Here is a 16,027-nt window from a genome sequence, read left to right on the forward strand (position 1 = left end):
CATTTTACGGTATCACTAATAGTACACAATGCTTTCAATTTCTCCAATCCTTGCCAGCACTTATGTTCTATCTTGTTGTTGTTGTTTTGGATAGGGCCTTGCTCTTTTGCTGAGCTGGAGTGTAGTGGCGTGATCATGGCTCACTGCAGCCTTGACTTCCGGGGCTCAAGTGATCCTCCCAAGTAGCTAGGACTACAGGTGTGTGCCACTATACCTGGCTAATTTTTATATTTTTGTAGAGATGAGGTTTTGCCATGTTGCCCAGGCTGGTGCTTTATTTTGTTGTTGTTGTTGTTTGTTTGTTTTTTAAATAGCCATTCTCTTGGGTGTGAGGTGATTTCATTGTGGTTTTGATTTGCGTTTCCATAATGATTAGTGATATTGAGCATCTTTTCATGTGCTTGTTGACTATTTTGTGTATCTTCTTTGAAACAATGTCTATTCAAGTCCTTTGCCCATTTTAAAATCAGGTTATTTGCTTTTTGTTGTTGACTTGTTAGGAGTTCTTTCTATATTCAGGATGTTAAATCCTTATCAGGGTTGATTTGCAAATACTTCCTCCCATTTTGTAGGTTGCCTTTTCACTCTGATTGTGTCCTTTGATGCACGGAAGTTTTAAATTATGATATAGTTCAGTTCATTGATTTTTAAAAAAATTTTTGTTCCTTGTGCTTTTGTTGTCATATTCAAGAACTCATTGCCAAAAACAGTGTTACCAAGTTTTTCCTGTATGTTTTCGTCTAAGAGTTTTGTAGTTTTAGGTCTTATGTTTCAGTCTTTGTTCCATTTTGAATTTTTGTATATGGGGTAAGAATTTACTGGGTTTTAATGAAAGCAAATCTCAAATGAAGTTTTGCCCAACATGTAAACATTTATTAAACATACAACATTAGTTTGCACAAGAGCCTATCCAAGCTGACTTGAGAGTCAGAGCGTGGCCAGCTTGCCACTCTGGTAGGTGCTTGACCTCACCTTGTGTGAAAGGTCCATGTGATACAAACACCAAGGAATAGGATTCTGTGACCGACTGTTGGCAACAGGCAAAGAGACATCCTCCTAAACTAGAGGTGGGAGGTAGCACTCTCCGGCTGTCACACCTTGACATCATCCCTTGCCTGAGTTTTATCCTTTTTAAGTGTGGGGATGTTCTCTGATGTTGTACTCAATCTACTTACATTGAATTCCTTCAGGTTCTCCAATGATAGCTCATTGTCTAACATTCATTATGTTAATTAAAGCCACTAATTTCACCAATGAAAAACTATTTCTGATATTCAGTATGCTAAATAGCGCAGTTTCTGGTGTTGGTCGAGATAGGATAGCTGGAAGATACATGAGTAGCTCAAATGCTTAGCCAGGTCTGAAATGTGGTCCTTTCTGATCCAACGCTGAGGCTAACCCCAGGAATCTGAATTCTCAGTTAGGACCAATGACTGTCCCTAAATGTAAAGCTTAAACTAACTGGTCTATACATTGTATCTTCCTGTTCATGCTGGAGATTATTTTATGAATTTCTTAATTTGTTAAATACAGAAATAGCAACATCCATCCGATAACTCATTTACTTTGTAGTCTCGACCCAGTGATTACAGTGGTTTTTTGTTTTTCACTTCCACCATACTGTTCTTCTCTTTGCTTTACTTGATGTGGATCAAAGGTATTAGGGAAATACAACCAGTTAAGAAAAATGTCACAAATATAGGGCATGCATATATTGAGCATATGCATCCTAAAATGGTTGAACACATTGTTATTCTGAAATCCTAATGAGCAGTTTTCCAAGGTGTTTATAGGCCATGGAGCAGGCTTCCCTGTGAGATTTGTAGTTTGTCTCCTGGCCCTAGGTATAGTACTAGCTGCTTTCTCATTCTGTCCAGATTCTGTTGGTCTGTAGCTGGCGAGGTCTTTCTTGGCCAGAAGATCCCTATTCAATTCTTTTTTTTTTTTTTTTTCTTAGCAGGTTCATTCACTGTTTCATGGTTTCTCTCCCAGTTTCCAACCTGGACCCCAGATAAGTCGGTTTCCTGGGCCTTTTGTGGTTGAAGGCACGGGAGCTATTATTGTCCTGTGGTGCCCAAGTACAGCCTGTCCTTTGACATTCCCACAAGTATATAAACAATTTTAAAAGGGATATCATATTCAGATGAATTAAAGATGCTAGTTCAGGGAGTTCTCTGATTGACTGTCTGGACTATCTGATTTTATAATTCCCTGCAGGGCTACATAGCATCTCTCCCTCCAAAGAAAGAGGCGTAGGTTTTACTATAGAAATGAAGTTGAGGCAAATGTGGTTATAAAGATAAAATGACTGCGTGAAAAAAATGTGTATCTTAGGAATCTACACTGAATAGTATAAAAATGCTGTTTTAATGTTTCATATATGTATGCATATATAAGTAATTTACATAGAAATGATTTTGCAATGTATTAGTCATGGCTTATTTTTTTGTAACTGAATTAATAGCATTTCAACATTTTTTATTTTTAAATATAGCAAGATCAACTTTATACCTGGGCTGCAGTTAGTCAACCCACACACTCATTGGACTATTCAGAAGGGCAGTTTCCTAGGCGAGTTCCATCCATGGGGCCACCATCCAAACCTCCCGATGAGGAACACAGGCTCGAGGATGCTGAAACAGGTAACCCTTTCCTTTGTCTTCAGAGATAACTGGAAGAGGCAAGATAGAGAGAGAGAAGTTTTATTAAATCTTAGTTTTAAGTAATCTTTTATTTTTAATTGCATGGCATTCAGATATAATCTTCAAAAAGTTTTTACTTTGGGGTCTTTTCTCTCTTTGTTCCTTTTGTTGTCTTATTTTGTGTTATTGGCTGGGAAGATAGCGTGAGATCAGCCTCAGGTTTATTTGGAGGAGTTCAGCAGGATGATGACCCCAAGCCTGGTTTTAAGAAAACACTTTATATTTGTCATACAGAACTGAGAACCATATTTGTGTAACAATCAATGCTTTATGGAATATGGTTGTTTTGTCCTTTTTTCCCCCCTTCTTCTTCTTCTTCTTTTTTTTTTTTTTTCTGGACAAGGTCTTTCTCTGTCACCCAGGCTAGAGTGCAGTGGAGCATGACTCGCTGCAGTCTCAACTTCCCTGGCTCAAGCGATTCTCCCAACTGAGCCTACCAAGTAGCTGGGACTCCAGCCATACACCACCACGTCCAGCTAATTTTTTTGTAGAGCCAGAGTCTCACTCTGTTGCCTAGGCTGATCCAGACTCCTGGGCTCAAGCAGTTCTCCTACCTCGGTCTCCTAAAGTGCTGGAATTACAGGCATGAGCCACCGCACCTGGGCTTTTCTTCATTTTGTTGTAATAAATTCCCAACTTCCTCCTGGTGGACTGACCAGGCATAAATATTGATTTCTGAAGCATGAGTGAGGAGTAAATAGAAGAACATCATTGCTATTCATAGATTTCTCCTCCACCCGATTTTCCTAAATGGTAACATAGATATTAGAGTTAAGAATTTTGATTTTTTTTTTCTCATTGGCTCATAGAGAGGAAGACAGTCATTAGAAACTTATTTTGGATGCATAGTAGAAGAGCATAACTTAAAAGCATGGAGCTTGGGCTCTGCCAACTTATTAGCTTTGTAATCTTAGGCAAATTTCCTAACAACTGTATTCAGTTTTCTCATCTGTAAAATGGTGATGAGCATAGCATGTACTGTGTAGGGCTGTTATGAGAATTATAGGCATTTATATGAAGCATTAGAATGTAGAATGCAGTGCCTAGCTCCGTGTATTTAATATTATTTATTACAATTATTATCATTGTTTCATGTCATTGCCTTATTCATGAGGTCCCTTTCAACCGACAATGACCAACAATGTAAAAGGTTTTATTCCAGTCCCCCACCCAAAGTTCTGCACTTGCCTCCCATTTGCATCCCAGTCTCTGGAGGAATGAATTTGCGCCTTTTTTCTTTCCACTGATGCACTGAAATGAGGGCCCACACTTGACCTTGAATCTCCCTTTTGAGATGTCCAGTGCTTTTGAAACACTGTTTGATATTCACTAGGTGGGCTGTACTCCCTGAAATGAACAACAAATGAGAGAGAGGGTGTAGGAAGTGTTGTTCCAGGAAGTGTTGTTCCAGGTTACTGAGTTTATCGTAACACTTACAGAGAGCAGTTTCTCAAAGGCCAAGGCAGACTTCCTTTAAGCAAAGATCTTCAGAGATCAGAGACCTCTAACATGATAGCACCTGAAAATCAAGCAAGTAAAAGGACTTTTCGTTTTCAAAGGAAAACACACAATTAAAAGTATTGATCCCATTTTCTACACTACTCTATTTATGATAACATTTATTGATACAAAATACTTAGGGGTAGATATAGTTGAATTAATCAGTTGCATGGAGAGCCCTTTTATCCCATGTTTTGCATCATTGATTGGGTGATATTTTCATGTTTTCTGTTCCCTACTGTATCATTCTCAACTTTTCTAACTGAAACATTTATATGATATTCTTAAATTTTAGGGAACTTTATAAAACATTATGAAACATTTTATGTTGCTGGTATATATACTGGTGGAGCACTTGACTCGAAGTTAATTGAATGTGATAACCTGAATTTTAGTTTGGTAAAAGATGATAGTTGGAATTGATACCAGGAAGTTTGTCACCTGGTTTTTGCTTCATGATTTGATGTAGCTTGCAAAATGCTAGAGCAAGTGATTTTTAATGAAATAACTTGTCTCCTTTTTAAAAATGCATTCTTGAAGAGGATGATGGAGGTAAGAAGTAATTTAACTTAGTGACTTATTTTTCTCTTGTTGATCTATAAACCCCAGCAGTCATATAGCATTTTTTCATCAGAGTGATCTAATGGGTCTTTCTAAACTTCTTCTGTTGTGACTCCCTGACGTAAATTTGGAGAGACACTTCCATGAGACAGCCTCGTTCCCAGAACCATACCACACTCTCTTCTAATCAGTCAGTTGTAAGAGTGGGCATGTCAGTATCATAGGTAACCTTTGCCTACAGTCTCATGTTTTACATCAATCACAAAGTTTGATAATATAATTATTAATAGTAATGATCTATTTGTAGTTAACTGATAGGTGCACATTCTTCTGTAGTGACATCTTGGTTAAATCCACTGTATATAACACATGACCCCTTTTTTTTTTTTTTTTTTTTAATGGATTCTTACTCTGTCACCCAGGCTACAGTGTAATGGCGCCATCTCGGCTCACTGCAACCTCCGCCTCCTGAGTTCAAGTGATTCTCCTGCCTCAGCCTCCGGAGTAGCTGGGATTACATGCGCCCAACACCATGCCAAGCTAATTTTTGTATTTTTAGTAGAGACAGGGTTTCACCATGTTAGCTAAGCTGCTCTCGAATTCCTGACCTCAAGTGATCTGCCCGCCTCTGCCTCCCAAAGTGCTGGGATTACAGGCATGAGCCACTGTGCCCGGGTGACCCCTTTCTATTTTAATTCAAAGTGAAAGAGTTCAGTGACATTTTCTGAAGAAGAAAGACTTGCAGGTCTAGCTTAGAAAATTGAGGACTTTTTTTTTTCCTGCGTGCTTCGTTCGTTGTTTTTTTCAGCTCATTTTTTGTTGTTGTTTGTTTGTTTTTGGAGTCTCACTCTGTCGCCCAGGCTGGAGTGCAATGGCATGATCTCTGCTCACTGCAACCACCGTCTCCCGGGTTCAAGTGATTTTCCCTCCTCAGCCTCCCAAAGGGATGGGATTACAGGCACCCACCATCATGCCCAGCTAATTTTTGTATTTTTGTAGAAACGGGGTTTCACCATGTTGGCCCAGCTGGTCTTGAACTCCTGACCTCAGGTGATCCACTCCCCTCGGCCTCCCAAAGTGCTGGGATTACAGGCGTGAGCCACTGCACTGGGCCTTTTTTCCAGCTCTTAAAATTGGTTACCCAATTCACATGTCCAGCTAGTTCAGATTTGTGGTACTCTGTCTTCTGCCTTTTTCATGTATCTCACTTTAACTGCATAGGGAGCATCTCACTTTAACTTTTTCACGATCTGTTCTGTGAAAGATGGTGTTTTCCTCCTTTATGGATTGGTGAAGGAACTGACCCTTCTTTGTATGAATTGGAAGGGCTGAGGCCATGGTGAGGTCTTGGTGCCTCTTCTCACCAGTGAGTTGCAGATTCCTGGCAGTCCTTTGTTCTCATCCTGGCTCCCTCTGCAGTTGGCATTGTCTCCACAGATGGGCCTAAAGTGTTAACATTGACCTTTTGAAGTCTGCAGAACACCCCTGAAGGATAAGACTGGCTGGGAAAAAAGGAAGTAATGTGCTTCCCATGTTGGTGGCATTAAACAAATAAAAAACCCAAACCAGTTGGTGGCAAAAACATTGATACAAAGAAACCCTTTCTATTTATCATTTTCTCTTTATCTTCTCCCTCAGTTTCCCTTGGCTATACACAGCAGTCTCCCACCCATCCATGGCTGTTTCCCACTCATGGACCCTTTTCTGGAGTCCCATGACATCCTATTCATCTCTCTGTCATCTGAATGCTTTACGTATTGAATTTTTCTGTTTATACATATACATGTCTTCCCCATCAGCTTTCAGAATTTCAAGACTTTCTGGCACATAGTATGTACTTAAATATTTGAGTGAATGATGAAATTCTTTTGCTGGAAAAGATCTAAATAAACATCTACTTAGCACATTAATGCAAGATTTGAGGGAGAGTTTTGTATGGGCTAAAACAGTTCTTGGACCAATTTAGGGGCTCAATACCAAGTTTCAAAGGTCATTCAATAGATTTGAACAACATCAAATAATTAACTTGAGTTTTCAAATTCATGGAGAACCTGGAGCAGGAGCAAGGTGTGTAGATGTGAATAGGGACTTGATCATTGTCGTTTCCTCTGTGGAAAATTAAATCCCTTCCCTTTCTTTGAAAATGTGAATGGCTGAGAGGAAACAGAGAACTGACTTTTTAGAAAGGCAATCAAGGCACAGAAAATCCTAGAAGAAAATATATGGAAGAGGATCTGGTAGAAATATGGTAGCTGACTTCCTACTGCAAGGAATAAAAGAAAAGAAAGAAACAAAGAACCATGGCAGAAGATTTTCATGTGAAAATCCTTTAAAATGCAGTTGTGCACTGGCTGAATACATTGTAATTCACCTTTGTTCCAAAAAAAGATTTGAGCAGCTTATAAATATGTAAAATGTACAAAAGGATCATAAAGGAATATAGATCAAACGAAAAGGAATTTAGGATGGAACAATAAAATGAAGCTGAGATAAGACAGCCAAGTGAAATGTATCTCATAAGGATCTGCCATTTTTAAAGGTAATTGGAAATTTAGCCCTCAGGTGCAAAGCAGAAAGGGGAATGTGAGTGTCTTCCTCAGTGTCCATGAGATTGAAAACACAGTCACTCACAGAAGCACAACTAATATCCCAAAGAAGTGTCTCTAATGGTTCCTAAGAGAAGAAATTCTGTGCCGTGCAATGTCAATACAACTCATTTCTTTTCTTTTCTTTTTTTTTTTTTTTGAGACAGGGTTTAACTCTGTCACCCAGGCTGGTGTATGGTGGCATGATCCCGGCTCACTGTAGCCTTCGTCACCCGAGCTCAAGTGATCCTTCCACCTCAGCCTCCCAAAGTGCTGGGATTACAGGTGTGAGCTACCACTCCCAGCTAATTTTTAAAATTTTTTGTAGATATGAGGTTTTGTCATGTAGCTCAGGCTGGTGTTGAACTCTGGGCTTAAGTGATCCTCCCACCTTGGCCTCCCAAAGTGCTGGGATTACAGACATGAGCCACCATGCCTGGTCCATTTCTGTGTTTTGTTCAAATGTTTTAACATAAGTTCGGTTGAGATAATGCAGAAATTCTATAAGGGACCAGGGGAGACTTGGTAGTATTCTATCTCTCTGAGCCCCTCACTTAATCAAGGAATAAAATGTACTGGAATAGACTGACTGTGTCTCCCAAAAATAATTACATATTTTCAACATGTAAATATATAATATAATATATATATTATATGATTAGGTTATGATTATATAATATAATATATATAAATTGAATATATATTATATATTGAATTAGATAATATATTGAATATTATATATTACATAGTATGTGCATGCATGTATGTGTATACATACATGTATATATACACACACACATGCCTACATATAGTTTTCATAAAATTGGCCTTGATTTTCTCCTGCGCTAACTAGAGCCTAGGTGTGGCTGTATTTTGTTGACAATGAGAGGCAGAGCCTCAGTACTATTAAATAATCAAATAAGCAGATCATGGAATTGGCCTCATTTAGGAAAATTCAGGTATTTAACCTCATCTTCATTTGTGGAAAGACATGGTATATCAGAATTAAAAACATCTTGCATTTATTAGGCAGCCAATCATAAGTCATGCTATTTAAATGAAGTTTAATGAATTCTGTTTCAGTTAAATTGACTGGATTTGAATCAAACTGGTATATACCATTAAAGAAGCTATAATATAATAATTTTATATAGCTGCATTTTAACTTAAAATGTCTGTTTAGAGACTACTTCATTCATTTTTAGAAGGCATATTTTGTATGTATATTTTAAAGGGAGGTTTATTTTCCATTCTTAGCTGAGAGGCATATCCCGCTCATTGTCTTACTGTCTTCTCTCTGTAAATACACAGCTCATCCAAGTATGTTTTGTTTCGTGAGTGAAAGGCTTATTTTGTGATGGTAAAGAGGTCAGTCCTGAAACATTTGGAGTCCATAGGGAGTCCAGAATTTTAGATTATGCTCGGAATTTTGAGGTAACTTTTTAAAATGGAATATTTAACCTTTTTTTTTTTTTTTTTTTTTTTTGAGACTTGCTCTGTCGCCCAGGCTGGAGTGCAGTGGCGCGATCTCGGCTCACTGCAAGCTCCGCCTCCCGGGTTCAAGCGATTCTCCTGCGTCAGCCTCCCGAGTAGCTGGGACTGCAGGTGCCCACCACCAGGCCGGCTCATTTTTGTATTTTTAGTAGAGACGGGGTTTCACCGTATTGGCCTGACCTTGTGATCTGCCCGCCTCGGCCTCCCGAAGTGCTGGGATTACAGATGTGAGCCATTGCGCCCGGCCTGTTTTTTTTTTTTTTTTTTTTTTAAGAACATTCTGGTTTCTTAATTTTAAGGATGGGTGAAGGAGGTGGCCATTTTAAATGTACCCTTGAGAGCTCTCTCACCAGGTTAGTCTTTGAAAATAATAACCATTCTAGTGATGAATATTCGATGGAGATGATCAGTCTGTCCTAGAGCTGGGTTTAAGGCAATTCCTGAAAGTGCCCTGGATCCTGGGAGGAGGAGAGTGTTGGGAACGTGGGAGTCGGGAGTTCCGGGAGTGATCACTTTCATTTAGGGAGCTCTATGAAAGTTGGAACTAGGCTGATATCTCAGATTCACCTATCTAGTGACTCCACTCTTCAGCCATTACTGGTACATCAATTTCTCTCCGCTCCCTAAAGGACACTTTCGCCATTTTTCATGTTCCCTTTACTTTCTCCCTCCTATACCTTCCCCTTCTCTTTCTCCCTCCTATACCTTCCCCTTCTCTTTCTCCCTCCTATACCTTCCCCTTCTCTTTCTCCCTCCTATACCTTCCCCCTTCTCTTTCTCCCTCCTATACCTTCCCCTTCTCTTTCTCCCTCCTATACCTTCCCCCTTCTCTTTCTCCCTCCTATACCTTCCCCCTTCTCTTTCTCCCTCCTATACCTTCCCCTTCTCTTTCTCCCTCCTACACCTTTCCCCTTCTCTTTCTCCCTCCTATACCTTTTTCCTTCTCTTTCTTTTATTCTGTATTGTTTTCTTTTTCCTTATCATGTATTTTTCTCTTCTCTCCCAGTGGTTCTCATTTATTTTCCCTTTATTTTTCAGTGAAGTTATTCTGTACATCTCTTTCATGTTAAAATCTTGACCCTCTAGAACTCCTATTTTCCAGCTTATGATTTTGAAGACAGCATTTCAACCTGCAAATTTCTCTTCTGTGTTTTAACACACAGATTCAAACAAATAAAAACTATAATGAAAGGGATGGGATTGGGAGAATGAATTCAGTTCAGGTAGCCATTGAATTAGACAGAGAGGAGCTGAAAGTTTGGGTGTAGGTGTGCAGAATATTTTGCTGATGCATCTTTCTAATGTGGTTTTCTAAGTACGTTTTTCTGATAAACTGCACTTGTTCTTTACCATCAGAGCCCAGAAGTTTACTTTTTGGGTCCAGTTACCGGGTCAAGGACTATAGAACAAAGCTAGAAAGCATTTTATGCATTTCTAATGTAAAGAACTCTTTGTGTACCACCAGGAGAGCCTTTAGGCTCTTGTGGCACGATCTAAATAGAAGAGGAAGAGAGACTTTTCCCCACTGGTACAAAGCCAAGACTTGTCTTGAGTCTATTGTGTTTGGGAGGATTTGGAAGTGACGAAAAACAATAGAAAATGAGAGCGTTCCGGAGTTTGGATTTGCTTTAATATTAACTGTTAACTAGCTTTGCTGTTAAAGATCTTTATTAAAATTTGGCTAACTCTGGTGTTAAGTTCAGAGTAGAGATTTGTCAATATAAGAGAAAAGAATCCATTTTTGATTAGCTCAATGATATGCTATATTTATCTGGGAAAATGGTTGTATTTTAAGGCCAGTTGTTTATTGCCACTGTGACACTTACTGGTAAGTGACTGCATCATGCTATTCTCAGTGAGTTTTGTTTTAAAATATATACTCCTAGCTGAGATTCAGAAAATAGCTAAAGGCAAGGCAATATCTATATTGTCTCTTGTAAAATCCTTACTCTCTCTTTCTCTGCCCAGGATACCCCACTTTTCCTGGTGGAACCCACTTTCATGTTCTTATCATTGTTTTGATCTTTCATTTATTCTTTCATTCACTCCTACAATTACTCAACAAATATTTTAAGCACCTACTAAGTACCAGGCACTATTTGGATGTGGGGGACACAACAAGAGGAAAAACTGACAAAAATTCTTGCTTTCACAGAGTTTATGTTCTAGTGGAATAAGAGGTATAAATAAGTAGGCAACCAAATGCATTATGGAGTATATGGTGTGATGATCCAGGTTACGAAGAAAGTAAGGGTGAGTGTGTGCTGAGTGCCAAGGAGTGGGTGGGGTCGCTGCTTGAGCAAAGCCCCGAAGGAAGCAGCCACAGAGTGGGGCTTGCAGATTTTGGGAAGAAGAGTGAGTGCAGTGCTCTGGGCAGAGGCAGTAGCCACTGTGGCTTTGGCGGCCCTATGGAAGAAGCATGACTGGTGTGTGACAAGACAAGTAAGCTGGCCAGGGTGGCTGGCCTGGTGAGCAAGTTGGGACAGATGGAGGTGGGTAGAGAGGCTAGGGAGTAACAGTAGTTGAAACCAGGCCTTGTGGGTCCCTGTGGAGACAGATTCTCATCTGAGTGAAATGAAAACTTTCATTGTAGCTTAACAGTATGTTAAGCTGTTTAAATACTAAATGCCTTTTATTTTTCTGTAGCATTGTCACATATATCAGCTACCATGTGGCTAAATTGGAAATGTCAAAATGACCATAAAGAGTGACTGCTGGCCGAGCACGGTGGCTCATGCCTGTCATCCCAGCACTTTGGGAGGCCAAGGCGGGCGGATCACGAGGTCAGGAGTTCGAGACCAGCCTGGCCAACATGGTGAAACCCCGTCTGTACCAAAAAAAAAAAAAAAAAATTAGCTGGGTGTGGTGGCGGGTGCCTATAATCCCAGCTATTCGGGAGGCTGAGGCAGGAGAATCGCTTGAACCCAGGAGGCGGAGGTTGCAGTGAGCCAAGATCGCGCCGTTGCACTCCAGCCTGGGTGAAAGAGCGAAACTCCATCTCAAAAAAAAAAAAAAAAAAAAAAGAAAAGAAAAAAACAAAACCAAAAACAGTGACTGCTGTACCTTGTGTCCAGGGTCTGGTCTGCATGCCAGTCAGGGGTGCAACGCGACAGTCAGGAGATATAAACTCTCGTCTTCACCTTGCCAACAACCACTTGCATTATGGGCTTTGAATTTCTCATCTGAAAGGTGCAGAGGATGGATGAGATTAGTGGTTTTTCAGGCTCTGATTCATGGAGCATGAGGAATTCCTTGAAGGCCCTTTCATTTTTATTTTTATCCTAAAGGCCCTTTTATTTTTAAATTTGCACACAAGCTTCACTTAGAAGAAAGTGCCCTCTCGCTTACGAAAAGAAATCCCTGACTTGGTTATGCCTTAGGTCTTTTTAGAATGATGAATTTGCAGTCTCATAGAATCTCAGATGACATGAGGACTAAAAGAGAAAAACTGCTTCAGAATCCCTTCTTACTCAGTGTCTCTTGGTGACAGTGTTCGTTATCTCTTGTTGAAATCAAGGGGCAATTTGACAACAGTTAGATGAGGCTTTTGAGCTCCCATCCTTCAACCTTGGTGAAGTGGCTTCTATCGTGATACAGACTTCAGCTAAGTGAATAATATAATCTGTGAAAGTCTTAGAAGGACTTTCTGGCACAATTTAGAAACTAGCAATCGAGACAAATAAGGATAGTTGATATATAGAGAAGGGCATAGGAATATCCCAATTTTTAAAAATGACATGAGCATTCTCATTGTATGTATTATATATATTGAAAAGTAGTCATATCCTAATAACCCAGTTATATAATTGGAAGAGAGACTGGATATTTTTTGGTACTTATGGTTAATGATATATTTTAGTGAAAGTTTTATTTTCTGATTGAAGAAATAGGAAAATTGTCCTTTAAGATACTGACTGTCTGCTTCCTTTCCAATCTAGAATCTCAATCTGCTGTTTCAGAAACTCCCCAAAAACGCTCAGATGCTGTCCAGAAGGTAAGATGATCTTATTAGGATGTCAGATTCCCATCTGTCTTATTTGTCTTAAGATTGTGACAGACTCTGCGATTTATCTTTCCATCTGCCCGGCTGGCTAGGATGCCCTTGTTTTCCCTAAGCCTGCAGTGGAATCCAGTCAGGCAGAAGGGGATGTTTTCTTCCATTTATTTTTTGCATACAAAATCAGCCTTGAAATGGAACTGAGTACAAGCTTTTCAGAAGCTGTTTTATTCTATATCCAGCCAAAGAGTTGGGCCCAATAACAGCGGGCTCCAGCAGGAAACGGTGGCCACTCCAGGGAGAAGTCTGCGAGATGTGCCTGCTCAAACAGTCCCATGGCTATGATCTTTAAAAAGAAATCTGTCAGAGCTTTGCTAAAGTCAAATAAGGTTCTTATTACTTTGGTGGATGAAACATTAATTAGTATCTGTTTAATTTCCAGGAAACTATTTTTTTTCTGTTACTGTATTAGTCCGTTTTCACACTGCTGATAAGGGTGTACCCAAGAATGGGCAATTTACAAAAGAAAGAGGCTTATTGGACTTACACTTCCACATGGCTGGGGAGGCCTCACAAGTTCATGGTGGAAGGCAAGGAGAAGCAAATCACATCTTATGTGGATGGCAGAAGGCAAAAAAGAGCTTGTGCAGAGAAACTCCCATTTTTAAAACCATTAGATCTCGTGAGACCCATTCACTATCATGAGAAGAGCATGGGAAAGATCAGCCCCCATGATTCAGTCATCTCCCACCAGGTCCCTCCCACAACATGTGGGAATTATGGGAGCTACAAGATGAGATTTGGCTGGGGACACAGAGCCAAACCATATCAGTTACCAAAGAAGCCAAATTTTGTGGGTTTTTTTTTCTTACGCTAAAATGCAAGCTATGCTAAAATGGATTTCTTATTAAAAAAAAAAAACTGCAAGAAAGGAAACGTGTATGGAATAGTAATTGTGGATAGCAATTGCTCTTTTGGATATAAAACCATTGCTTACAAACCAATTTACATTTTCACCCAACTATGCTTTTGTCAGTAACTTAGTATTAGAAATGAACAGTAAAAAGATGTGTTCTGTTCTGTTGGTGGTCTAGGAGAAAATGAGGAGACACATACTTGGGTTTTACACCCGGATCTATTTCTGATTAGTGTGATGACAACAAGCTTAGATTACCTGGGACATAGGGTTCTTCTCTGTAAAATTAAATTATTGCTGATCTCTGATAACTCATCAAATAAAGTAACTTCCCTTTAGAAAAGAATCCCTGTGTTATACATGAAAGTTGTGCTCCCCCTGGAGGAGAAATTGGGGTACAACATTGGTTGAAAACAGCACCTGGGTGCTTTTCAAAAATGCGGCTAGGTTAGCTATCCTTAAGGACAGTTCATTGAAAAAGCAAGTTTTTCCAGCTTATTGTTATGGGAGCAGAGGGCTACATCAACTTGGTGGCACTTGGAGAGGCACGGTGGGCTCAACTGATGGTTCCTTAATTATCTGCAATGATTAGCCCACAGCGAATAAGAGAAAGAAAGATAAAAAGGTAAAAAGAAATAGTAAAGTCAGCAGTTATTAAGAAAGATAGTACCCTCAAATCTTCCCTCACTTTTTAAGCCTTTTTTTTGGTGTGGAAAGCATGGCTAAATTGTGATTTAAAGGGATACATTAAGTTTTTCTAAATTCTTATGTTCAGGACGTATATGAATCAATTGTTACATACGATAATGTCAAAGAGAACCTGAACAGGAAGTATTTGATAATATCAACAATGATAAAACATGTACAGCATTGCTTTCTATATTATGCTATTTCAAGATACATATTCATGTGTGTAACATTATAGTGTTTTTCCTGAGCGATGGACCATGGTAAAATATATTGCAATAAGCAGAAAACCTAATGGAGTAGGTTATTTAAAAACACTTGATTTTACAACTTGAAGACTCAAGGGTGAAATAGATTGAATAAATGTTACATCTTATCCTTGTTGACAGTGAAGTGTCTGGAAGTCAGGAAAATTAATTGAGAGGGAACAATATTTGGAAGCAATCGATTTTAAGCACCCGACAATGACATCACTTACTTTTGGAATCATTAACTCTTTGTCATACATTTATTTTACGGGCTGATTCTTTTCTTAGATGATATGGATATGTTTCATGACAGGCTAAAGTAACTGGCCGTAAAGGGGATAGGGAAAACTCAAATTAATTGTCAACCTACTGTATACCTGTTCTTTTACTCTATTACCTTAAGAAATCCTCACAATAATCCTTTAAAGTAACTATTATAATGCGCATTTAACTGCTAAAGAAAATGATTATATGAGTTAAAATAACTTGCATCAGATCACAAACTTGATAAAGGGTAGGCTCGCTATTTGAGTACAGATCTGTTTGATTTTATACTTATACTATGATAAAAATTATACTTTTACATGGGTAATCACCCGATGCCAAAATCGTCAGATGAATGAGATGAGATTCTAAATTTATTTTATTATATGTAAACTCTACCATGTATCAGTTGGATGTCCAGATACATTATAGAGGCAAATAGGTATATTAGTTCACTTATACATTTTGAAGTTTTACTAGAACTTTGATGTGCTAAGTTGTGTTAATTTTACTAACTTTAGTGCTTTGTTATTATGTAAAAAAAATTATTTTTCATGGAAAGTCCTTGCTTTTTCCTTCTTAGTCACTAGATGGCAGTTCTGTATCTCTAAATGCAGCTGGAAATGAGAGGTTTGAAGGCAGTTTTCTCAGTATGAATGATGAACCTAAGAGATTTTTCTGGTCCATCAGCGTTGCCTGCGTTCTTCTGTGGTCGTAATGTGAGATCCCCAGGACTGCTTAGTCAGAGGCTTGCAGCCGAGTTGGAAAGCATCCTCTCTAAGTTATTCTTCAGATGTGTGTTCAGACACCTGTTCTCTCAATCTGAGCACATTGGAATTTATTGAATGAGTTTTGACTTTTACTCTTTCTGTAGTTAATAATTCTGAGAGTGCGATATCCCTAGAAAAAACACATGACTCATAAAGCCTTTCCTCAACTCACAGGAGTAGAAGGCTGTGGTGTTGCCAGAGAGTCTGATGCTTAAAGCAAATACAGCTGGCACTCAAGTGAAAAGAACGGACTGTAGCTACTCCTTGAATGCTTTTATTGATGACCCTGTGGAATTAGGTTTT

General features: G+C 39.1%; 1 protein-coding gene across 9 annotated transcripts in view; it reads left to right on the top strand.

The window, feature by feature from the left end:
* Window positions 1-16,027, top strand: part of FMN2 (formin 2) — a 383,305-nt gene that overhangs the window by 83,544 nt on the left and 283,734 nt on the right. For 6 of the 9 annotated variants that reach the window (NM_001305424.2, XM_017001837.2, XM_011544237.4 and 3 more), the window contains 3 exons: window positions 2,495-2,642; window positions 4,743-4,754; window positions 12,781-12,836. In NM_001305424.2, the coding sequence (NP_001292353.1) occupies window positions 2,495-2,642; window positions 4,743-4,754; window positions 12,781-12,836 (216 nt within the window). The remainder of the gene's footprint in view (window positions 1-2,494; window positions 2,643-4,742; window positions 4,755-12,780; window positions 12,837-16,027) is intronic. The other 3 variants (NM_020066.5, NM_001348094.2, XM_047425620.1) reach the window with 1 other exon arrangement.

This window comes from Homo sapiens, chromosome 1, assembly GCF_000001405.40.
Source record: "Homo sapiens chromosome 1, GRCh38.p14 Primary Assembly".
In the NCBI taxonomy this organism is placed as follows: Eukaryota; Metazoa; Chordata; class Mammalia; order Primates; family Hominidae; genus Homo; species Homo sapiens.